This window comes from Homo sapiens, chromosome 11 (genome assembly GCF_000001405.40).
Source record: "Homo sapiens chromosome 11, GRCh38.p14 Primary Assembly".
NCBI classification, from domain to species: domain Eukaryota; kingdom Metazoa; phylum Chordata; class Mammalia; order Primates; family Hominidae; genus Homo; species Homo sapiens.
In genome coordinates, this window is record NC_000011.10 from 58,542,355 (window position 1) to 58,567,999 (window position 25,645).

Below are 25,645 nucleotides of genomic sequence, written 5' to 3' on the forward strand. Positions count from 1 at the left end.
AGATATATGGAATGATCCATATATTCATATATTCCTGGTAATAATATTAACTGTATTATTCTTTTGGAGAGTCACTTGATAATCTACATCAAGGTTTTTTTTAAAAAAGATGTAGACATCTAAGTCCTAGGAATTAATTAATACAAATAATTCAGAAGAAGAAAACATTATGTTTAATGATATTTATTATAGTACTACTAAACACCAGAAGTAATCTAAATATGATACTATTGTTAATACATTTAGTTGTTTCCAATGTTTGGAACTATAATAATGCTTCAGTGAAAATCTTTAGGCATATAGCATTTTATTTTTTGTTTATTTACATAAATCCCTAATGGAATAATTGATAATGTTAAAATTATTATAAAACTATTATGAAATTATGATGAAACAACATGGAGAAATGCTTAAGTATAAAAAAAGAATTTTAGGCACACAATAACTTATGTGTGCACACATACATGAATAAATGTAGAAAAACATTGGTAGGAAAAGTTTTCTGTATTGCTTTAGGTTAATAGGGTAATAAGTTAAAAACAAACGTTTCTGCAAGGTCTTTTTATTGTCTTTACACTTACAACAAAATTAACTAATTAATCCTTAAGCACTTATTCAAGTGATATATTTGCTCTGTTTTGAAACTCACTTCCCTGAGATACCCAAATGGCTTAGTCCTTTGCTTACCTCAGGGGTCTGCTTAAGAGAACAAGTGACTCAACCACTGTGTCTCAAATACTACCTAATCACTCTCTCTCTCGCCATGCAGAGTAGGTCGTAGTTAGTTGGCTAGTTTGATTACTGTTTGTCTCCTCCACCAGAATACATTAATCATGAGGGCAAGAACTTTCCTTTTTGTCACTATATCCCTAGTACTTTGAATAATGCTTGACACATATATAGTAGTTGCTCAATAAATATCTATTGAATGAGCTGACATAAGAAAAATATTACAATAGCAAAATTGAGATCATCTGCTCCCGAGTATATTGCAATTTAGAGTCTCACTTCAGCATTGACTAGAATATGCATAAATAGATTAACTTTTACGTAAGAATCCCTCCTTAGTATTTACTTAGAGAGACACCTAAAATGAAGACTATATTATCAGCAATCCCATTTATGGATCATCTGCATTGTACTGGTTCCACTGAAGGCTCTGTCTACAGTACTAAATTAAAATGAGATTTTTTCAGAGCAAACTTCTGAAGTAGGCTTTAGCCTCATTTAACAAATGCAAAAAGACAGCTTAGAGAATTTACACCTGACTAGTCAGTAGAGGAGCTGAGATTGAAATCTAGGCCTAACTTCAAAGCCTAACTTCAATGTTATACCTCTAACTTAAATGCATCCTGACTTTGACATCTCTGTGGGAACTGACAGTATCAGCTGAGCACAAATAGCCCAATAATTTTGTAAATATGAGAGTTCTACCTCTTCCCCACTAAGACAGCATGTAAGCAAAGCATGCACAGTGTTCTGTAAAGCAGACTATCTAGAAAACACTATTTCTAGAAATCAGCTTTGATAATAGCAGCCAGATCACAACATGACAATAGAAGCAGCTAGGTGTTGGGAACCAAACCATATAGCTGCAGTTTTTCCATTACCTCATCACTTTTTCACATGCCTTGCTTTGTTCAACTTTGCTTTCTTTAAAAAGCAGACAATTTAGCAGAATTTTGAGGCCTACAGATCTGAATCTAAACTAGTAATTTTATATGCTGTCCTGTGTTCTTCCTCTAAACCCCTGAGACACAGAAGAGCTCACTTTACTTTTTATTTACTCTGTCAAATGATGTCTAGGGTCTATTCAAGGGAAACTGAATACCGTAAGTCCTACTATTTAAGAAAAACAAATACCTGCAACCACCTGTCTCAATTTTGTGTAGCATAATAGTGTTTCTCAAACTTTAGTGTGCATTATTCATCTGGGAACTTGATAAAATGCAGATTGCTGGGTCTTCCACCCTGAGTTTTTGATTCAATGGGTCTGGGATGGGGCCCAAGATTTTGCATTTCTAACAAGTCCCCAGGTGATGCTGATGCTGCATAAAGCAAATGACACAAAACTGAGCTTGCCTATAGGTAGGCATTACTTGAGAAAACTGTAAGACATGCCAACTATCTGAGAAATGACCCTCATCTAGGCATCTGCTGGACAGCTGGTTTCGAGAGTGGGATAGCAGGGGAGTAACAGCCTCTGTTTCAACTTGGGTAAATCTCAGGAAAGAAATCAAAAGCAATCACCCAAACTTGCTGTGATACCCCTGCATTTCATAATCTAATAAATTAAGAAAGTTTCAGCTCTTGCTTTCTTGGAGGATCTCTTTGGGACCAATTACCTCTAGAGGAAGAATGAGAAATACTGACAATTAAAAGTGCCACAAAAAGAGGGAGAGTGTTTATACTCTGGTGAGGCTCTTAGCCACAGGGGAAATTAGGGAGCACCTGCATGACCTGGATAATGAACAATTAAAAAGAAACACAGGTAGACATTGAAGAGCTCATCCCTGTGGGAGGATGCCAAGGACCAATGACTTGAGCCTTAAAGAGGAATTCTTTGGACTGATGAAAAAATGCAGATGAATTTAATTTCCCAGGAGGCTCAGAGGTTAAACTGTCATTATAGAAACTCTTTGTGACTATCTAACTTGGGGTGAGGCAGGATGACACCTAATTAATGAACTGATCATATGGCAGGAGACCTTTTTACAGAAAGCCAGGCATAAAAAGGAAAATACAACCCAAGTGGAGCTTCTGATCAATAAATGTCACTTTTTGTCATGTGGCTCTATGTATAAATATGTTTTAAGTGTTGTTTCCTGTTTATATAAAGCCATAAATGACCCCATCAGCCCTGTCTGTTTAGAAGGGGCCTGAGTCAAGAAAATGAGAACTAGCTACCTTAATGGTGCTTTCTGGTCATCCTATGGATTGGGTATTTTTTTGTGTGTGTATCTAACTTATGTCTCTACCTGAAATGTGCCTATGTCCTGTTGTTCTGCTTTCAGGCAACTTCTCCATCATAATGATCCATAGGCAGTATTCACTTGTTGACTGTTGTACTCAACTAATTCTCAGACTTTTATGGCTACCAGTACAATATAAATTTATTGTGACACAATTTAAGATGATTTGGATTAAGTGTCAATGAAAAATGCTGCTTAGGTAAAATACCATCTAGAAATGAAATACCTAATGATTTGTGAAAAAGCATTGAGCAAGCTCCAGTGAACAAGCAAATTACTACAGAGCACTTTGCTAGTGGATTCTGTCAGCACCACTGTATCTGGGTCTATTGTCAAATAAAGCATATCGTGTTGGTACCACAAAAGTAAAGAGATCCAACAGCCGAAGAGGAATTGAATTTCAGTCAAAAGGCAGTTGTGATGTTTTATAAAAAACATGGAACTTGCAGAAATGATACCCAAGTTGAAATCTTGCCTCTTCAACTTTCTAACTGTGTGACTTTAAGAAAATCACTTTACCTACCTGAGACTCATCTATAACTAGGTAAAATGTTGAATAAACTTGCTCTCACAGACTGTGATGGCATCATATAAATTATTTTTAACCATATACATAATAATATGCCTGATATTTAGGAAAGTCTCCATATTAGTAAAAGGGCCTAAACACATGGGATTTTCTTTACTCCCTCCTGAAACATCATTAACATGACAGTTAAGAAATTATGTAAATTATAAAGAGCCATAAGGAAAGAGAAAAAAGTAAAGGATATGCCACCAGATGAGATATTAACTAAATTTTCAAGAATTTAAAGTAGATTTTAAGAGTGGTACCTGGCTTAACATAAATAAGAAAACTGGAACTTACGTCTCCACAGATGGGAGAGGCCAATAAAAATCAAGCCATCTTGAATATGATAACATCAGAGGGGCTCAGGAACTGAATGCATGAGATACTCTTCAAGGCTAGAAACAGGACTGGTTGAAAGTCTAAAGAACCATTAGAAAGTTAGATGCCTTATCTTACCGTAAGATGCAATGATTATTTCTGTAAATATTGAACAAGAGAGTCTCAGTGATCAGAGATGTTGGACACCATGAGGAAACGAGTCAAGCTCTCTACTGAAAAATGGGAATTAAGTAAAAGTTGACATGCTGAATGGTGAAAAGCCCATTCCCCCATCCCCTTTTTCAATCTCAGAATTCTGGCAAAGAGAACATCTCTTTAGCATAATTGACTCAACAGAAAAGACCTAAGATTGTCATATTCAGGAGTCACTCAACAAAATGGCCAGAGTATCTTACCTGAGTACCATATAGTCAAGTCTACCAGTCAACAATTTCTGTCTATATCCATGGAGTTTGCAATTAGCATTTTAGTGTCTCATTCTTAAATAGTAACAGACAACCATGGATCAGCAGTATTGGGAAAGACCAGTGTAAACAAATGTAAGGCACCAAGATGTAATATATATCAAATTCCAAATTGAACTGCAAAACATCCCTCCAAACAGGTAGTCAAAGATTACTTGTACAATTCTGGAATTCCTCACTCTTGTTCAGGAGAAAACAGGTAAAGAAAAAGGAAAACTGAGAGAAGGATTCCTTTGAAGAAAACTGTGCTATGAGTGCCCCATCACCACCAAGAAAGATGAGGTATAGTTCTTGATAACCTCAGGTTAAAAGAGGGACTTCACTGGGACGACTCAGAGAGTTGGATATGTGTGCCTTGGCATTAGTGAGATGCAGTTAGTGGTATCAGAGTTACCCCTGGAAAAAGTCCATAGATGAGTCTGGCTGAAAGAGCCTATGGCAGCTGAATAGAAACATGCAGCTAAAAATTATAACTCCACTGGCTGTCAGAGAAAAGAGTAAGTTATCCATGGTCCTTCTATGAAAATATGAGAGGAAGAGATTATCTGGAACGATGTTAATAATTTCTAAGGGTTCACTAGGAGGGAACAATGAAAGCCCCTTGAAAAAAGAATCTTTACAAAACAAATCCTCAAAGAAACATGACAAGGAGAGAATAGCTAGTCAAGACACGTAAAGGGCAATCAAGAGTTCACTGCTGGACCTGTCTTAATCCCGAAAAGAATTCAGGGAAAAAAGTCAGAGCTAAACACTGGCTGAGCCTGGAGAGCATAAAGCCAATTTAACAACAATCCTAGACAAGTTAGACCTTCCTGCCTTCTATTCTCATCTCCATCCTCCCTAGTGTTTCAACCCTAGAGCAGGCAGGTGTCAAGGCTGGCAATAAGGGTGAGGGTGGTAGATAACAAAGCGAGGTCAGGAGAGAGGAAAGGCCATACCCCTGTCCTCGCCTCCTGCAGCTTGAAGGTCCTAAAAAAGAGAGGGAGTGGCTGTCACTTTTAAAGTGCTGGAAGCCTTAACTATTACACAGACTGAATTACCTAATGGCTTAGTTTTTGTGTTTTGTTTCTTAAATTGATTTTATATTTAGAACTGTTTTTTAACAGTAATCAGAAAAGACAGAGGACTGCACAAGCTTTTATTTATGAGAGGAGAAATCCTTCCCCACTGAGTTCATTCTAAAAGGACAGGAGAAAAACAAAGTAAAGCAGCTTTCTGATTCCATATTTGTTCAAAACAAACATAAAAAGGAGAAATTAAAAAAAACAAGACAATTCAGAAAACACATGAAACAAACATACAAAGGGGGAAGAATGGGTCATGTAGAAAGGATCAAGGATAAAAAAAATTTAATAAAAACTTGCCAATCATGGAAGCTAGAAGACAGTGAAGCAATGTCTTCAGAATTATGAAGGAAAATAGTTTCCACTTAGAATTCTATGCCCAGGCAACTTAAGGGCAATGACAGAATAAAAATATTTTCAGATATTCAAGTTCTCAAAAATTCTTTCTCAGAAAGCTACTAGGGGATGTTCCCCACCAAAATAAAGGTGGTAACATGTATAAAACATAGACATGGGACCCAGGAAACAGAGCATCCAAAGAGGAAACTAATAAAAGGAATTTCCAAGAGTAATTACTAGATATAATTCTAAGTTAATGAACCAGAATGACTGCTACTCAGCAGGAAGAAATCATTTCATGTTGAATCAGGAGGAGGAAAGTCTCCTGGAGGGATATCTCCAGAAAAAAAAAAAAGAAAAGAAAGAAACTGACTTGTTGCCAGATGTAGTTGGCCATTTTGAAAAGAATTTCACAGTTCTGTTGCATAACTTAGTGATAAGTACAATAAAAACTAAGCCAATTTCAAAAAGGATTCAAATGTTAACTTTAGAAAAAAATGAATTTATACCAAAAGGACACTGTGATAATAATATTAACACTACTATACCTCCATGTGCTTGGCACTATTCTAAATACCACGCTTGTATTGTCTCTAAATCCTCATAACAACCCTATAAGGTAGGCAATTTCATTAGGACTATTTTACTGATGAGGAAAGTAAGGTACAGAGATGTTAAATGACTTGAACAAATACCACAACCCAGATTTGAACCTGGAAGTCTGACTCTAAAATCCAGACTCTAGTGTAGTCAGTTTGCTACATGGCTTACTTGTGAGCAGTATTCTATGATTGTCAACATATGCACACTTAATACTGATCTAACCTGTAATTATGACATAATTATATATTGAAAAAACAGGGGAGGGGAAATATGTTAGGAGTGAGTGGGGTAATAATAACATTTCTAAACCTCATCTTCCCTCTTAGACAGTCAATACATAATGGTTAAAACTGGAAAAATAAAACAATCTATAACAATATAAAGTTATTATTTAAAACACATAAGCAGGCCAGGCGCAGTAGTTCATGCCTGTAATGCCAGCACTTTGGGAGGCCAAGGCGGGCGGATCACGAGGTCAGGAGTTCAAGACCAGCCTGGCCAATATGGTGAAACATTGTCCCTACTAAAAATACAAAAATTAACCGGGTGTGGTGGCAAGTGCCTGTAGTCCCAGCTACTTGGGAGGCTGAGGCAGGAGAATCGCTTGAACCCAGGAGGTGGAGGTTGCAGTGGGCGGAGATCGCACCAGAGATCGCACCACTGCACTCCAGCCTGGGCAACACAGTGAGACTCCGTCTCAAAAAAACAAACAACAACAACAACAAAAAATAAGTAAATATCAGAAGAAACAGCTAAAATAATTTGGAGAGGAGAACTGGATTTGGAGATGAGAAAGGGACTTTTTCAATATTCAACAAGAAAAGGCTTTTTCAATATTACCCTTGAAGTAATATTTGAGTTTTTAAACTATGCATTTGTATTTCTGTGATTTAAAAAATCAATTTAAAGGGAAATTATAAATGTTGGAGAAAGGTAGGGAGGGATGGTATCTAGTACTGAAATGGGCACTTTGATAGTACTGATAGGAACCAGGACTCCCGTGACTACCAGGAAAGGTGTTGCTGGTCTTATAACTACCCACTGGGGTGTGGGATACAGCCTCTCAAGTCGGGTCATACCTTCTGCACCAAACACCTCTCCGCAGTGAGAGCAGAAGAAGTGCTCTGGGTGCCAGGTCTGGTTCATTGCTGTCAGCACTTTCTGGAAAGGGAACACACAGATATTATAATGATGCAGAAGTTGTAAAGCATGACTCTGGTTCTAAGTGAGTGACTGAAAGCTGGAGAGGAGCGGGGATTTACTTACATCCAGGATGGGAGCAGCGCAGTAAGCACAGCGTGGAGAAAAAAGTTGGTGGTAGTCGTTGGGGCAGTAGGCCAAGCCACTCCGCTCAAAGAAGGGACTGGAGCCAATCTCTTCTTTGCAATGAGTACAGACAAAATGCTCAGGATGCCATGATTGCCCTAGAGCATGGATCACCTGTGGAGTGAAATAAAGCCTGACACAGGAGGCCAGTTGAGTGCTCTACAGCCTACAGGTTGCACAACTCTAGGGAGCACTCTTCACATTGTACCCCTTGTAGACAACACGCCCTGGAATTATACAACACTGAGGCCTAGACCTAGGTTCCACCTAAGGCCATCTGTGGTCTGTGCTTTATGGATTGATAATAAAAGGATGCCCACTTCCGGGACTGATCACTGTGATGAAAGCCTGTAAATGTTCACAACCACTGCACTGCCACAGGGGGTGGCAGAAACAACATATAGCACATTGATGACAGAGAAGTTGTAACTGTAGCCTTAGTGTGGAAGGGACCCCTGGAAGAGGAAAAGGCCAAATGACAGTTTTTATTCCTCTAGTTTGAACACTTTATTCCACGCCCCATGCAGTCAGGTCTCAAAGCTTTTTATCATAGCTTCGGTGAAGGACGATGCAGAACAGGAGTTTGCAGCTGTGACTTGGAGCTGAGTTCAGCTGAAAATTGTAATCAATCAATTTAGACTGGGAATGTGTGAACAAAGGGAGCAGTGAGAAAGGTCATCTCAGTAAAGGCAGTACAGAAAAATGGTCAAGAACTCAAACTCAGGAGACAGTCTCCTGGTTTCAGATCTTACCTCTACCTCTTATTATGCCTTGGATATGTCCATTAATGTCTCTGAGTCCTCAGTTTCCTCATCTTTACAAAGGGAGCAATCATTCTTCTTGAAGGGCTGATGTGACCATTAAATGAGGAAATACTTGTAAAGCACTTAGCTCAGTGGCCAGAGCACTGTAAGTGATTAGTAATTATTAATGCTAACTAAAATATCTTAAAATATAAGGGGAAAGAGCAAACCTTGATGAGACAGAGAGAGACAAAGAAGGCTGTAGGACCAAAATTTCAGCCCATCTCACCTTCCCAGCAATCGGTTTCTGGCAGGATGCACAATGGCCCTTGGGCACTGTGGCAATGCCAAGGTCCTGCAATTCCTGCTCCAGACCCCCAAGCATTGAGTCCAGGGAGGCCTTGTGATCCTGCTTGTCTGGTAAGTGCTTCTTGCCAGCATCTGCTCTCACTGCAACCTGGCCCAAGGGAAGAACCAAGAACAGAATCAGCCTCATTTTTATTCTCATTGGCATCTTCTAATGACTCTATAAATTCACCTCTACTGACTGATCTCTTGGCCTTTCCCCAACCTTCCTGCAAGACATTGGAAAAATCTAAAATTTCAACACCAATAAAAATCTTTTCATCTCCCTTTCATCCTAAACTCCTCAGGCCAAATGAAATCTGACTAATTTTATATTTGTAAATCTTTTCTTAATGTAGGAAATTTAGTACATGAAGATGATACCCTTTGAAGATCTTAGGATGACCCCAGTTCAAAAATTAGTCACATCTCCCTTTTACTCATTTATTTGGCAATAATTGTTGAATACCTGGTTTGTGCCAATCACTGCTCTAAGCACTTGGATTAAAGCAAAGATAAGACAGACCAAGTGTCTGGCCTCATGGAATTGCATTCTGTGGGCGATAGACAATAAATAATTAAATAAATAAATATATGTTGTAATGTCAGACAGAGATAAGTTATAGAAAGAGATAGAAGGGACACAGCAAGATGGTAAGAAGAATTGATTTAGATGGAGGTAATAATCAAAGAAGGCCCCTCTAAGGAAGTAATATTTGAGTAGATACTTGGGACTTAGAAATATTGACATTTATGGGAAAAGCATTCTAGGGGAAGGGAAGGCCCCGAGGAATAAAACAACTTGGCACATTAGAAGAAAAGTCAAAGAGGTCAGTGGGGCTAGAGCAGAGGGAGTGAGATTGAACACGGCAGGAGAAGGTGATGGAGAGAGAGGCAAAGATCACATAGGAACCTCATGGTAAACGCTTGGGTTTTATTCCAAGGTGATGGAAGCCATTGCAGGATTTCAAGCACAGGAGTGAAGGAATCTGGAGGATCCCTGTGGTAGCTGAGTGGAGAACTAAGTGTTGACAAGCAAGAGTGAATACAGGGAGATTTTCAGATAATGACTTAGATCAGTATTACAGGAGAAGGTGGTGAGAAGTGGTCAGATAAGACTTGTTGATGGATTGGAATTATTTAAGCAAAAGCCCAAAATTATTATAAACCATTCAAAGAAGGATCCTCAAATTAAAAGAAAAAAAAAAAAGGCTAACTGACCCTTCATAACCTCATAACCTGATTCTGGCTCTCTCTACTCCTTTCCAGCTGGGCGACTGCTACCATCTATCTACTGAATACTTCACTCATCAGAAAACTACAATGGCTCTCCATTGCCACCACATCAAGTCTTCACTCATCAGACAGACATTCAAAGCCTCCCATCCACTGTCCTCCCTTTTTATCTTTCCCAATTTCATCTTTTATTAATACTATGTTGTAAAAGGACAGCTGGGCTCTTCATCTCCTGAATGTGATCTGTTACTGTCTGCCTTAAGACCTCTACTTATCCTACTTTTACTGCCTGTTATAACATCACACTGTCACCAATCAAAATGCTCATTTTGCTTCGAGACATTTTGATCATCTGACAGACATCCTTCCTTCTCTAATATATGTTAGTTAATATTCAAGAGGTTAGTGTTCAGAAGGTTAGTGTCTGAAAGGTCTGAAAGGGTGACTGACATTAATTATGAAAAATAAGTAAAAATACAATATAACTACATCTACACCTACATCTCTATCTCTTCACTGTTATCTTCCAGAATACTTCTGAACAGATATAGAAGAGACAGGAAATTCTGCCTATCTCCGGTGGGGCAGAACTGGATGGCTAGGGTGCAGAGCTGAGAAGGAAACAGTTCAGTGCAAGCTTTTTGCACTTTTGATTTGTGTACAATGTGAAAGTGCAGCTTATTCAAAAGATAAATGGGGCCGGGCACAGTGGTTCATGCCTGTAATCCTAGTACTTTGAGAGGCCGAGGCAGACAGGTGGCCTGAGCTTAGAAGTTTGAGACCAGTCTGGGCAACATAGCAAAACCTCGTCTCTACTAAAAATACAAAAATTAGCTGGGCATGGTGGCACACGCCTGTAATCACAGCTACTCAGGAGGCTGAGGCACTAGAATCGCTTGAACCCAGGAGGTGGAGGTTGCAGTGAGCCGAGATCATGCCACTGCACTCCAGGCTGGGTAACCGAGTAAGAATCTGTCTCAAAAAAAAAAAAAAAAAAAAAGATGGTGTTGTAAATTAAAAATTTAAATCAACCAATACACAAGCTAAATCAACTAGAAACGCAACACAATTAAATCTAATGTACATTTTTTCTAGTATTTTCAGATATACAGCATAATGAGCCAATCTACCCAGCTTTATTGTAGACACTGGCCCATCAAAGGATGTCAGTCATTAAGGAAAACTTGTTTGTGATGTTTATTTACTCATCTCTCTAATAAATATGTGTTGCTCACGATGTATCAGGCCCTGTGCTGAGCATTGGGAGTCCCAAGGTGAGCTCTAAAGATAAGGTCCCTGCCCTCTCCAATCATATACATTTTTATATACTGCTTTGAAATTATTTCATAGTCATCTCATGAGTATATATCAAATCCTCCAACCAGATTTAAAATGGTTGGATTCTCCACCTTAAGGATTCTGGATTATATTTCCTTTAATAAATCTTTAAGCCCATTTATCTGAGATTTCCATTCCATGCCCGACTATGTGAGCTCACCACTTTAGAGGTGTTCTAGAGGCTAGAACAAAGAGGCAGATTTTATCTCAATATGGGCTTGGGACTTCTCATCCTTCCTACTGTCAGAGCCATACTTTGATCTCCCTTGCTGTGTCTCAGCTTGCTCACTGGTCTCCTCTGTCCTGCTTAGTCAGGTCTCTTTAACAGTCCTTTTGGCCGGGCGCAGTGGCTCACGCCTGTAATCCCAGCACTTTGGGAGGCCGAGGCAGGTGGATCACGAAGTCAGGAGTTCGAGACCAGCCTGGCCAAGATGGTGAAACTCCGTCTCTACTAAAAATACAACAAAAATGAGCCGTGCACAGTGGTGGGCACCTGTAATCCCAGCTACTCGGAAGGCTGAGGCAGGAGGATCGCTTGAACCTGGGAGGCGGAGGTTGCAGTAAGCCAAGATAGCGCTACTACACTCTAGCCTGGGCAACAGAGCAAGACTCCATCTCAAAAACAAACAAACAAACAAACAAACAAATGAAAAATCCTTCCACATCATCAAGCCTTAGATACCTCTGCCCTCAGGACTCATTGCAACTAAAACCACCTTTCTTCCCATCTCTTTATGTCCAAACTCTGCCAGTTCTTCAGAGTCCATCCCAAGTTTCAACTCTGATTAAATCTCCAAAATCTCTCTATATCCGTAATGTTTGCTCCACATATGTTTGCAAAACACCTGGCTTTTATTCTATAAATGTTAAGAAACTTATGCCTCATTTTGCCAAGCACACTCCAGCTCCTTGAGATCAAAGTCTGTATTATATATTAATTTTTGTGTCCAAATAACACATAGTACAAAGATGGGTTAATTCATGGAATTAAATTTAGTCTGAAAAAAGCAATGACAACTTAGGAAAATTCCTAAGTGGGAGAATGGAGAGCTGAGTTCCACAAAGATAAACTGGTGACCCCATGGGCCCTGTTTATCATCTGGACTGCACTCACCTTGGCCTGCACTCACCTTGGCCTGCACTCACCTTGGCCTGCATCTCAGTCAGGTGAGCCATGAGCTCATCCAACTGAGCAGCTGCTGACGTTTTAGAAGGTGGTGGTGATTCCTTTGGCTCTTGGGCTTCACTATAGAGGGAAAACAAAAAAGTCATATGAACAAATCAAAACTCAAATAATGTTAAACCACACATAAAGTACTGGAAATGCAACTGTAATAATGAATCCCCTGGATATGAAGCTAAAATCAGAGATGGGGGTATTTTAAAAATATATTAATATGTACTAGACCAAAAATCTAAACAAGTTCTCTCTGCCTTTTTTCTCTATTTCTCCCTGGTCATCTAATTATAAAAAGTATTATATCTCCTGTCAGTTTTTGTCAAAAAATAAAAATAAACTAGAATATAGAGCAGGCATCAACAAACTAAGGTCCTTGGATCAAATCTGGCCATGTCCATTCATTTATCTACTGTCCATAGCTGCTTTTCTGAACAGTTGGGTAGTTGCTACAAAGACTTTATAGTCCACAAAAGCCTAACAAACTTACTATCTGCCTCTTTACAGAACAAGTTTGCAAATCTCTGGTGCAGAAAGTTTAGATAATATATATGATGATGATTTCATATTCATATAATTGTAAGTAAATTATAAATAAATAAAACTTTGGACCCAATAAACAGAATACAGATTCTATTCAAGTAGCTGCATAAACATTAGTAAAATTAACTATGTATGAAGATACAAAGTAAAGCTCAATAAATTTTTAAAAGTACATCATATAGACCATATTCTTAGATTGGAGTGAATAGAAGTACAAATTAATCATAAAAACTATCCACTTAAGAAAAAACAAAGCACTTCTAAATAATTCTTGGGATAAAAAAATTAAACTGAATTTTCAAACCAGTTAGAAATAGCAATGAAAACACACACACACACACACTCACACACATGCACACACACACACACACACACACGCCTTTGGGAGTTGAAAGCTAAATGTTATTGAGAAGAAAATATATAAATAGACTTAAGTGTGATATTAAAAAGTGAGAAAGATCAGAAATAAATAAAACTTCCAAGTCAAGAGTCTCAGAAAAATCTAAAATAATTCAACAGAAGGAATAAATGCATAAATTAGTGAAACAGAAAACAAGAAATAAAACAAAAACTGACAGTTTTTGGGGGATCATTGTATAAAATTCCCAAATACATAGAAAAATATGGAACATTACCTAATTCATTCTATAAATAGCACAGAAACTTTTTAAAATCAAAGAAAAAACGATGTGCATGTGTGAAGAGAGAAGGTTAAATAAAATCAGTTGAAATGTGTTTTTTTTAAAAAACATAAAAAATTTTAACAAGTCATGGCTAGGTGGTGTTTATACTGGTTATCCAAAAATAGTTTGAAATTCAAAATTAGGAAAAAGATTAATATAATTCATTAACAAATAGGAGAAAAGCTTTATAAACACAATGATATGTGCTGAAAAAGCCGTGGAAGACATTTAACAACCATTCCTGTTGTTGAATATCAAGAAAAATAAGAAAAAGTCTATAAACTGATAAAATGTTTCCATAAGAAATATATAGCAAGCCTCATAATTATTAAGCAGATATCTAATTAAGAGATAAGTTGGACATAGATCCTATTATCACTGGCAATCTTCAACATTATTCTAGAATACATTATCAAACACATTTAAAAGTAAAATAAGAGAATTATATATTTGAAAAAAAGGCAGCACATCCTCAGTCTTTCTTTTAAAATAGATGGTATAATAATTTCCCAGGAAAATGTAAGATAAATGACTGAACAACCATTGGAATGAATAAAAAAGATCAGGGTGGTGATTAGATACAAGAATGAAATGAAACAGTCTCTTTCTTATTGATCATCAATAAGCAGTTTGAAAATCCAATGCGAAAAAAAGAACCTGTTCACAATTCTAACAAAAGTTGTAAAATATCAAATAATATATTTAACAAGAAATGTGTAAGAATTCTATGAAGAAAAACCATTGGCAGACATAAAGGAAGATCCACATATCCAATTAAACAATGAGCAAAGGACCTGAATAGATATTTTTCCAAAGAAGAAATAAAAATGGCCAAAAGGTATATGAAAAGGTATTCAACACCATTAATCATCAGGGAAATGCAAATCAAACTATTATGAGATACCACTCACAAACAGATGGCTATTCTCAAAAAGTCAAAAGATGGCAAATGTTGGCCAGGGTATGGAGAAAAAAGAACCTTTATACACTGTTGGTGGGAATGTAGATTGTTACAGCCATTACAGAAAATAATATGCAGGTTTCTAAAGGAATTAAAAATAGAAATACCACATGACACAGGAATCCTTCTTCTGGGCATACACAAAATAAATGGAATTACCACTTCGTAAAGATCTCTGCACTCGTATGTTCATTGCCACAATATTCACAATTCACAATAGCCAAGAGGTGGAAACAACTTAAGTGTCCATCAATGGATGGACACCAATGGAATAAAGAAATTGTGAAATATGCACACATACACAACAGAATATTAGTGAGCCTTAAAAAAAGGAGATTCTGCTATTTGTCATAGCATTGATGAATTGGAAGGACATTATACCAAGTTAAATAAGAAAGAAACATATTGCATGATCTCACTTATAGGTGGAATCCTCTTTTGTCATTTAAAAAGGTCAAATATGTAGATACACTGGTGATGAGAGGCAGGAAAGGGGGTGAAAATGGGGACATGTAGGTTAGAGAATATGAAGTAGCAGATATGTAAGATGAACAAGCCTAGAGATCTAATGTACAACATAAGAACTATCGGTAATGAAATTGTATCGTATTTAGGATTCCTGTTGCAAGAGTAAATTTTGGCTGTTCTTGCCACAAAAACAAACAAACAAAAATGTGTAACTGTGTGAGATAATAAATATGTTAATTTGCCTCACTATAGTAACCATTTTACTAACTATTCATAACCCATAACATAATATTGTACACCTTAAATATGCACAATAAAATTTATTTTTAGAAAAGAAAGCCTATATAAATGAAGATAAATATTATGTCAGTTTCCCCTAAACTGTAAATTCAATGTAATTCAAATAAAAATTCTGATATAATTATTCAAGCTAATTAATAAGATGATGTTAACATTTATGGGATAGAACACTCAAGACAATTTTGGAAAAACAAAATAGGAGGGGTGTGTGGTGTCTCACACCTGTGGTCCCAGCACTTTGGGAGGTCCAGGTAAGAGAATCACTTGGGACCTGGAGTTGCGAACAACCTGGGAAACATGAGAGAGACCTGGTCTCTATAAAAATTAAAAGTTGTAAAGAAAAAAAAAAACAGGAGGGAAGATTTGTCTTGATAGATGTGGTGTCTTATAGAGTAACAATAATTAAATTTGTATGATGTTGGTAAAGAAGATAGGGCTGGGTGCGATCGTTCATACCTGTGATCCCTTTGGGAAGCTGAGGCAGGAGGACTGCTTGAACCCAGGAGTTTAAGACCAGCCTGGGCAACATAGGGAGACCCTGTCTCTACAAAAATTTAAAAATCAGCCAGATGTGGTAGCACACATCTGTCGTCTCAGCTACTCAGGAGGCTGGGGCAGGAGGATCACTTTGGCCCAGGAGGCCAAGGCTGCAGTGAGTTGTGATCACACTACTGCATGCCAGCCTGGACAACAGAAGCAGAATGAGACCCTGTCAAAAAAAAAAAAAAAAAAAAAAAAGAGAAGAAAGGAAAGGAAGAAGAAAAAGAAAAACAAATAGGTCAAAGGAGTAGATTAGAAAACCCAGAAACAGGCTCCTGCACCTAAAAGAACTTCCTATATGAGCAATGGGGCATTTCAAATCATCCAAAACAGACTATTCGACTCAAAGAATAACAACCTATTTGGTACAAAATAAATATGGATCCCCAACACACCAAATACATGAATAAATTTGAGACAAATTAAAGATAGATATCAATATTTTTAAATGTAAAGATAATAGAAAAATGAAGAATATATTTTACAATTTGGGGTAATGAAGGTTTTCCTAAGATGGACATAAAATTCTGAAGTGATTTCAAAAATGAAAAAAATATTGATACAGCTAAGTTCACAAAACTTAAATATAAATAAATATTTAAAACATAATATTCAAGATTTTAAAGAAATGTATAAATAATTTAGAAAAATAGAAACCTGAGCTAAAGATTCTTTTAAAAAGCAGGTTTCAGAAAAAGAAACTCAAATGTTTATTACTATATAAAAATACCCTCAACCTCATTAATCTTTAAATTTGCAATTTAAAGCAATGAGATACTAATATTTACCTATTAGTTGAAATTTTAACAGAGGGATAATATGCAGTGTTGGCAAAATATGAATTTTATATATATACACATACACATTTATATATACCATAGGTGGTTATATAAATTTATAAACACTTTTGCAAGGCAGTATCTATCAACATTTCAGACACATATACCACTTGATTGAGCAATTTTGCTACTAAGAATCTATCCTACAGAAAAATTGGACATATATATATAAATATATGTGCAAGGACATTTATTAGGGTACATTTTCTATGAGCAAATTGGAAATAAACCAATGGAGCTAAAGTAAAATAAATAATGGTTCATCCATGCTATAGAATAACATGCAACTGCTAAGCAGACATAGATTTAAGTGAACTAAAAAAGACTTCCAACAAACATTGTTAGTGTAAAAAAGAAAAGCCCAGAACAATACGAAAATTATACTTCCAGCCTGGTGCAGTCACTCATGCCTGTAATCCTAGCACTTCAGGAGGCTGAGGTAGGAGGACTGCTTGAGCCCAGGAGTTCAAGACCAGCCTGGGAAACATAGGGAGACTCCATCTCTATGAAAATTTTAAAAATTAGCTGGGTGTGGTGGCACATGCCTGTGGTCCCAGCTACTTGGGAGGCTGAGATGAGAAAATAACTTGAGCCCAGGAGGTCAAGGCTGCAGTGAGCCAAGATAACACCACTGTTCTCCATCCTGGGCAATAGAGACAGACCCTATCTCAAATTTAAAAAAGAAAAAAATTTACTTCCATTTATATAAATTTATAAGCCCATGTACATAAGTATGAATATGCACACACATAAGTCTGTAAGGAGAAGAACCTGACAGCAGTTACCTGTGGAGCTGGTAATGAGTTGGTGAGAGGAAAGACTCTAAGAGGAGTGGTCTCAATTTTCACCCTATGTATACATTTCCAAATTCTTCGACTTTTTACGCACATGAGTTTATGAAATAGTTTTGTATCTTAAGTTATATTTTTAAAACAAAACAAAACACAGGTCATCTATACTAGGAAAATAGCTAACACACATGGCCAACAGATGAAGTGGTGGAGGTGTCAGATGAGACATCAGTAATGCAATTCACCTGTATATCTCAGTTATTATACACACACATACACACACAATGGTTCTACAAACAATCTTCAGTAAAGTACATAAATATAGTCACAGTGTAGAGCTTTCTATTTAAAATTGTTCTAAAATATAAAATTAACACATGTTAAGTGTAGAAAATTTGAAAACTGCAGAGAAATATACAGAAAAAATTTTAAACACATATAATCCCCTTTTCAGGAGGCATTTACTCTGGACATTTTGGCTGATACCATTACACTTAACTATGATTGTGTGTAATTTTAGAAAACTAAAATTATACATTTTTCCTACTCTTATGCAAACATTTTTCTATCTTCTGCAACCATAATAGGTAGCATTTATTGAATGTCTGTCTGCACTATGCCTGACACTCTATACAGAGCTTTACACAGGTTCTCTTTAAATCTTTTATAATAACAACCTTAAGAGCTAGGTATTATCACCTCCAAATGAAAAACTGGGGCTTAGAGAAGTTAAAAACTTTTTTGTACATAATACAGTTGGCAAGTAACAAAGAGCTTGGGCCTGCAAACTGCAAAGTTTGTGCTGTGTGTCCTGAATTATCTGCCAAAATAATGTTTAAAGGCTATATATTTTCAAATAGATAATGTATTATATAATTTATCAAACTAATAATTTATTGCTGGACACCTAGATTGTTTTCTAACTTTCATTATTATAATCAATACTGCCAAACAAATATTTGCACCCATGTTTGATCATTTACATAAGAGTTAAATTTTAAGAAGGGAAATCACCGGGCCAAAAGGTATAAAAAGGTAACTGACTGTGGAATCATGTTTGTAATCAACATTAATCAACAGAGCTTAGCTAACAACCCACCAAACCAAAACCCTCTGTCTCACGACTACTCAAGCCTTTTCTCTCTCTCTCTCTGCACAAAGATGCAAAGTCATAAATAAAAGTAAATGTTCTGTCTTTCACTTAATATATTTTCAAAAATGAAAACATACATTTACTACTTATCTTTATGTAGTTACCAGCCAGAAAAAAAGTAGAAGAAAAGTTGATACTTTTCTCTCTTAAGAAGAAAAGACTATCTTTTGGATACGACATATCTCATGTCCACTTATTTTTGATCACTTAACAACAAGGAAAATATAAGAGGAAAATGGATATCTCTTAAGATAAAAGATTTATCTTTTAGGTACAACATGGCCCTCTACTAGATGCAAGATTTTTTGTTTTAATCTGAGAGCAAAACCAGTCAAGTATGCAAGTAATTGATTCAATCCATTGTGGATGTTTCCCAGAAGGTACACTGGAGCTTTTTCTCACAGCTCGATCAGTCATAATCCTTTCGTAGCTGCTGCCACAGGCAAATGCCTTGGGAATACAAAAGGCAGCAGGACTGTGAACACATTCTGCTGCCCTATGCCCAAATGCAGAACAAATGCAGTTTCTTAGCAGGGCTTGTATATTCCTAAAAAACCTTCCAATCTCACAGTTGGGGCAAATTTGTGCTTATTCAAAGAATTCCCACTGGTTTTTAACTAGAGTCCTAGTGCAGTGTAGAAAGGGAAATAGATCATTGTTATAATACTCCAACAGTTATTGAGTCAACAGTATAAAATTCTACATAAGAAATGAGAGACCTTGAAGAGTTAATGATTACAAATTAAAGTGCCCACTGCAGGAAATGTTCCTGAAAAGAGAAGAACCTTTGATTTGTTCCCTGACCTTTTGAAGATAGTAAAGATGCTTGGCTATGTCATCAGCAGCAACTTACTTCACTGCTCAGAGATTTCAGTAACACATATCACAAGAGATGCATCTAAAAGAATCCAGACTTAAGCAAGGGGCTTCATTGTGCTGGGTTTTTTTCCCCTACTTATTTCTCTGTTATATTTTTATGACTTATTCCTCTCGATTATTACCAGAATTATTTTTGTTTATGTAAAAGATACATTTCTAAATTATTGCTCATGTTGCTATTGATATATAACTATACTAGAAATGTTATTGCATTGTTATATTCAGAGCTAGTATTGAAAATACTTTGAAGGTATGTTAAAAGCAATATTTAGTTCATTTAAGCAAGCCAGAGTAAATAGTAGAAACAGAATGCAGGAATCTAGTTTGTGTGTCTAATATTCTATTTATATGCTAGCCTTGCCAGCTCAGAGTGATACTAGTCTCAGGGATGTGCATCTATCTATTACATATTTACTAGGTCACCTGGATTTTATGTCACTCTCCCACAGAGGCCTGGCTACACAGCAAGTATCATTCAGTAATAGGAAGTACATCAAAGGCCAGTCAGGAAAACACAAACCACATGAGTACACAGAGTTTAGACCAGAAACCTGATTACACAGGTGAGGGGAGAGCTAAGAAGCAAAACAGAAGACACTGAATAACCCAGAAGTCACTACTACCCCTAAGCCAAAGGGAAAAAGAAAAGAGGAGAAGTTACCAGAGCTAGGGGCCCAAGTCAACAGGCAGAAGGTGAAACCACAGCAGACCTGTTGTGCTCCAGCTGAAGTCATAAAGAAGATAAAGCTGCTGACAGAGATCCTGTGGAAATAGAGCGACTTGTGGGGGGGAAATGCCCTGGATTTCACTGCTTTTTACCCTGCAGTCTTTCCACAGTGCCTCCCATTGGTTGAAGACAGTGAGGACCAACTGATCCTGGAGCCTGGAAAACCCAAGGGGTCAGCTCCCCTGGAATACAGAGCAAGAGAAGGAGGAAATCATGGGAAATAGGCCAGAGAGGCCCATACTATGAGGAAGAGGGTGTCAATAAGTTAGTATTGGTACACCATCAGTTAATAATCACAGTGCCAGATATACAGGCTGTTGGTTGGGCTAGTTTTCATGTTATATGTTCATGCATTCACTCGCATTTCTACTGGAGTCTTGGTTTCCTAGATTTAAGAAACCAAATATTTACTGAGGACCTATTGTGTGCCAGCCACTTTTTGTTATTGTTTTGCTTTGTTTTTATTTTTCATTGGGGCTTCAGGGACTGGGGAGGGACTAGGAGGAATTCTCATCTGGCAACATCCTTGGAACTAGAATAAACTGGCAATATGTATCAATAAATTGGCCTCACCTTCACCAAAGTAAAAAGCATCCTTAAGAGGGAAGTTTTAAGAAAACTTCTTGTAGCACAGTTCTTGCCTTATTTTTGCCTTGCATGTGTGCACTATTGACTGCAATCCTGAAACCAAATAAGGTGTGATCTAGCACTGTTTCCCAAGCATGAATCTTTACTATCTATATTTTATGCTCTTTAATTTGTTTTCCAGAAAGTTGTCTGATGTTAAAAATTGCAAGCTATAACTAAGGAGAGAATAAGTAAGTTAATCTTGTTATTTTTTCAGACTGCCAATTCTGCTTTAGCCAGGAGAAATGATTTAGTAAGTGTATCTGTTTTAATATGGAACTTCTCATAAAAGGAAATCCCTCTACCCACTATACAAATTTTGAGCAAATATGGAAAGAAAAAGTAAATACTCATCAGTTGGCCATGGAGACCCACTGTCTTAGTTTAACCCTCATCCTAGCTCTGACATTGCTAGAATCTTGCTGAAGTTTCTTCAGGTGTGTTTTATCTTTCAGGAAACTGAAGCATAACATCTGGAATAGCGTGGACAAAACATCTGTGGTAACTCTGGGAGTATTTACACTTCTTTAGGTGGTAATGGACATAGCAGGGCCCACTAGCCTAGACAACCCTTCCAGAAGCCAGGCACCTTGAGAAGTTGTCAAGTCAGCTTCACAGAATTCTACCTATGCTCAAAGACTATGGAAAGAGGAGGATGATATACGAGTTCTAATAATAAACACTTGCAAAGCAAATTATCACCCAAACAAAGATTGATAACAATTATCTACTAACTTTAATTTTTAAAAGCATTTAATAGAAAAAAAAATACCTGTAGACATTGAGCTCCTGGATATTGGTAGTATACACGAGCTGCGCCTAAGATATATAAGTGACAAGAGAAGAGCAAAGAATAAATTTTTGTTATCAGAATGTTGAGGCTTAATGATACCCACAGTTAATAGATGTTTGTAGCTTTTAAAGGGGACTGACAAGTGGCATATCTATGAGCTCTTCTTTCACAAGCCAGAGGAATTACCAGCCATCCCACAAAGAAAAGCCAAATTCTAAACAGAGTAGTTGGCATGTGAACAAACACTAGCAGCCCCTCCTTGCCTAAAAACCACCCAAATAGAGAAGTTGATCCTCCTTAGATAAGAACCATAAATCAAATAAAATGGGTCAGAGCTAAGCCCCTTTAACTAAACAGGATGGTGCCTAGGAGGAGACTATAATGTTATTAAACTTGACATATGAAAAGAAATAACATGTGAATCTAAAAGATGGTTGGCTGGCAATTCATTTATTAATTGAACAAATATGTATTGAGGGCCTGTCATGTGCCAGGGCTGAGGATGTAGCAGTCAAAAAGCAAAAAAATCAAATAAAAACTGTAAGCCCTGAAGCTTACATTCTGGTGCTGTGAAACAAATAATAAAGAAATTGGTATGTAAAAGTAATATTCTGCATAGAGGATGGGAAGTGGGGAGAGACAGCAATTATAAATATACTGATCAGGGAAGGACTCACTGAGAAGAGAACGCTTGAGCAAGGACTTATATAGGAGGTGGGGAAAGAAAGCAAATATCTGGGGTCATATGATTCAGGTGGAAAGGCCAGCAGGAAAACCACCTGGAGCATCTGTGGAACCACGAGAAGGAGAGTGTGGCCTGAGCAGAGTGAACCAAGGACACAGGGACAGCAAGTAAAGGGGCCAGATCATACAGATGAGGTGGCCACATCACCAAACGTTCAGAATGGGGTATTTTTTAGAAAGAAAATGGGTTCCAAAAATAAGTCATATTGTATCATTTTTAAAATATGTGTTTATTGGCCAGGCATGGTGGCTCATGCCCGTAATCCCAGTACTTTGGGCAGCCGAGGCAGACGGGTCACGAGCTTGTATCATTTTTAAAATATGTGTTTATTGGACGGGCGTGGTGGCTCACGCCCGTAATCCCAGTACTTTGGGTGGCTGAGGCAGGCGGATCACGAGGTCAGGAGATCGAGATCATCACGGCTAACATGGTGAAACCCCATCTCTACTAAAACTATAAAAATTTAGCTGGGAGTGGTGTTGCGTGCCTGTAATCCCAGCTACTCAGGAGGCTGAGGCTTGGAGAATTGCTTGAACCCGGGAGGCAGAGATTGCAGTGAGCTGAGATCATGCCACTGCACTCCAGCCTGGGTGACAGAGCGAGACTCGGTCTCAAAAAAAAAAAAAATGTGTTTATTGACCTGAATTTGGTCTTATTATATTGGTGGACCTATAAGATAATTCTATCCAAAATTTATTTTCAAAATAAAAATTTCCTGAAATATCTTAAAGTGATAGTGATACAAAGTTATGAACATTCAAGCAACTTTAAAAAAATATTGGCCAGGCACAGTGGCTAACGCCTATCATCCCAGCACTTTGGGAGGCTGAGGCACGTGCATCATTTGAGGTCAGGAGAATTTGAGACCAGCCTGGTGTCATGTGACCAGACATGGTGAAACCCTGTCTCTACTAAAAATACAAAAAAATTTGCCAGGTATGGTGGTGGGTGCCTGTAGTCCCAGCTACTCGGGAGGCTGAGACAGGAGAATTGCTTGAACCCAGGAGGCGGAGGTTGCAGCGAGCCAAGATCATGCCACTGAACTCCAGCCTGGGCAACAGAGTGACACTCTGTCTCAACAACAACAAAAAATTGATTATCTGAACATTTTTAATGGTACAGACAATTATTCTTTATATGTATTCACATACCTTAATTGGTTATTTAGATATTATTGTCTCTAGCATTGGGATGTGGACATTTTTCAGGAACATGTGTTTTTTTTCGTTTTTTATTTAAACAGTTATTTTTTTATAAAACTGCAATCTTTTTCAAAACTTCATTTTATGGTTAATATATTTGAAATTATGGACAACTTTAATTGATGCTTCACTATATGTTTTTAACTGAGAACACATTTCCTCTCTAGATACTGATGAACCTGTAAGTTCTGCTAAATGAAGAATCTTCTCATTTTTTAGATTAAAATATGTAAATATTTCAGGCCAATATCGTCATAGGTGCTGTCTTTCTACCTTCATTCAAAGCACTTTTGCTCAATAATTTCTTACAAGATAAAACTTTCAAGTTGTCTATATCTGTGATTGTTTCAACATTTCACCAAATCTAGATACTGCAAAATCATAGACTTTCACAATTTTTCTCCATTTTGGTAGAGAATAAAAATTTATCCAAATAAAATTAGAAGTCAAAATACATCAAAGTCAAGATTTTTCTGAAGCACAATTGTCAAAATAGATAATTAAACCATATCTGCTTTCATCTTTTGATTTGTTCAACTCCTTCTTCGCTTTTGTAGGGAGAAATTTGAGCTTCTTCCTTTGCAAGCCTTATTTTACATAATTGTAACTTGCTAAAAGCTTCAAAAGCTGAATTTTCATGCTACATTCATTCAGTAATCGATTAAAAATTTCCAACTGGTCTTGAACATAATGCAATCTAAATTTGGGTTGCTTTACAAAGTGGTTTTTCAAAGGCTCAGGCATTCCCAAAATCCAATTGATGACATGCAACACAGACAGGAATATACATATAGTCATTCTGAAATGTTTCCTTGCATGGTAGTGTTCAATATCAGCTTCTGTCAGAAAAGTTTTGTAGATCAGTTACTTATAAAATCTGTGTGTGTGTGTGTGTGTGTGTATATATATATTTATAATTTATACATTTTGACAATTTTAGTTTCTGTTTTGACTGACAGAATACCGCAGCTTGTTTGAATGCAGTCACAAATTTTGTGCACATTACAACCAATTCCAAGTACATTTCTGCTTCATAGCTTGTTAACTTGGTAAGAACATTTTTAACACAATGCTGTGCTCTATTAACATTTGTATTCATATTCTTACAACAAAAACAACAGTTTACCTTCAATGTTGAGCTTTTCAACTAAATTTACAGTGGCATTAACAATGTCAGATGTTTCACTTTTTGACTAGGAAATAAATTTTCACATATTTTATTTTGATTGTTTGAATTAGATAAAAAACAAAATTGAAACATTTCAGAATTAATACATTTTTGAATTGAGACCTCTAAGGAAATTATTATAAAAAACATTATTTGAAGGTTTGCAAAGGAAAATCACTCATTAATTATTACCAGTTTACTTACAAGTACAAGAAAACTTGGAATTGAAAATGAGCAAAATTAATTTATGAGTTATTTGATACTAATGGGAAGGTGTGCTTCACAATGACATGTACATAGGCCTCCTGCAGCTGCCGTGTTGAAGTCATTTTAAGGCATATTCTTCTTAAATTATTAACTTTGGAAATAGATGCCAAAGCTGCTTCACCATATTTGTACCTTCTGGTTTTCAAAGGGATAGTGATCTTTCTACTTGCCTGCATGGTACATGGTAAATATTGAAAAATATTTTCTGCACGTTGCATATTCATTATCAGCTTTCTTGAGACAATTAAACATGTGGGTTTTGTTTTGAGCTAACTGCTGAAAGGGTTTATTGTAAAATTCAAAAGGCATTACCATATAATAAAACAAATAGAGCTTCACATATACAAATAATAACAAAACTGCTTTAATAAAACAATTAGGTTACACTATACTCTATGGCAAAATTACTTAGCCTCTATTTCCTAAACATAATTTGTATGAC

The 25,645-nt window shown here is 36.9% G+C and overlaps 1 protein-coding gene across 11 annotated transcripts in view; it reads right to left on the minus strand.

The window, feature by feature from the left end:
* LPXN (leupaxin) overlaps window positions 1-25,645 on the minus strand; it is a 52,021-nt gene that overhangs the window by 15,484 nt on the left and 10,892 nt on the right. For 6 of the 11 annotated variants that reach the window (NM_001143995.3, NM_004811.3, XM_017018579.3 and 3 more), the window contains exons 3-7: window positions 21,801-21,847; window positions 12,487-12,586; window positions 8,711-8,878; window positions 7,619-7,792; window positions 7,432-7,513 (exon numbers count right to left, since the gene is read on the minus strand). In NM_001143995.3, coding sequence (NP_001137467.1) covers window positions 7,432-7,513; window positions 7,619-7,792; window positions 8,711-8,878; window positions 12,487-12,586; window positions 21,801-21,847 — 571 coding nt within the window. The other 5 variants (XM_047427882.1, NM_001307951.2, XM_011545390.3 and 2 more) reach the window with 2 other exon arrangements.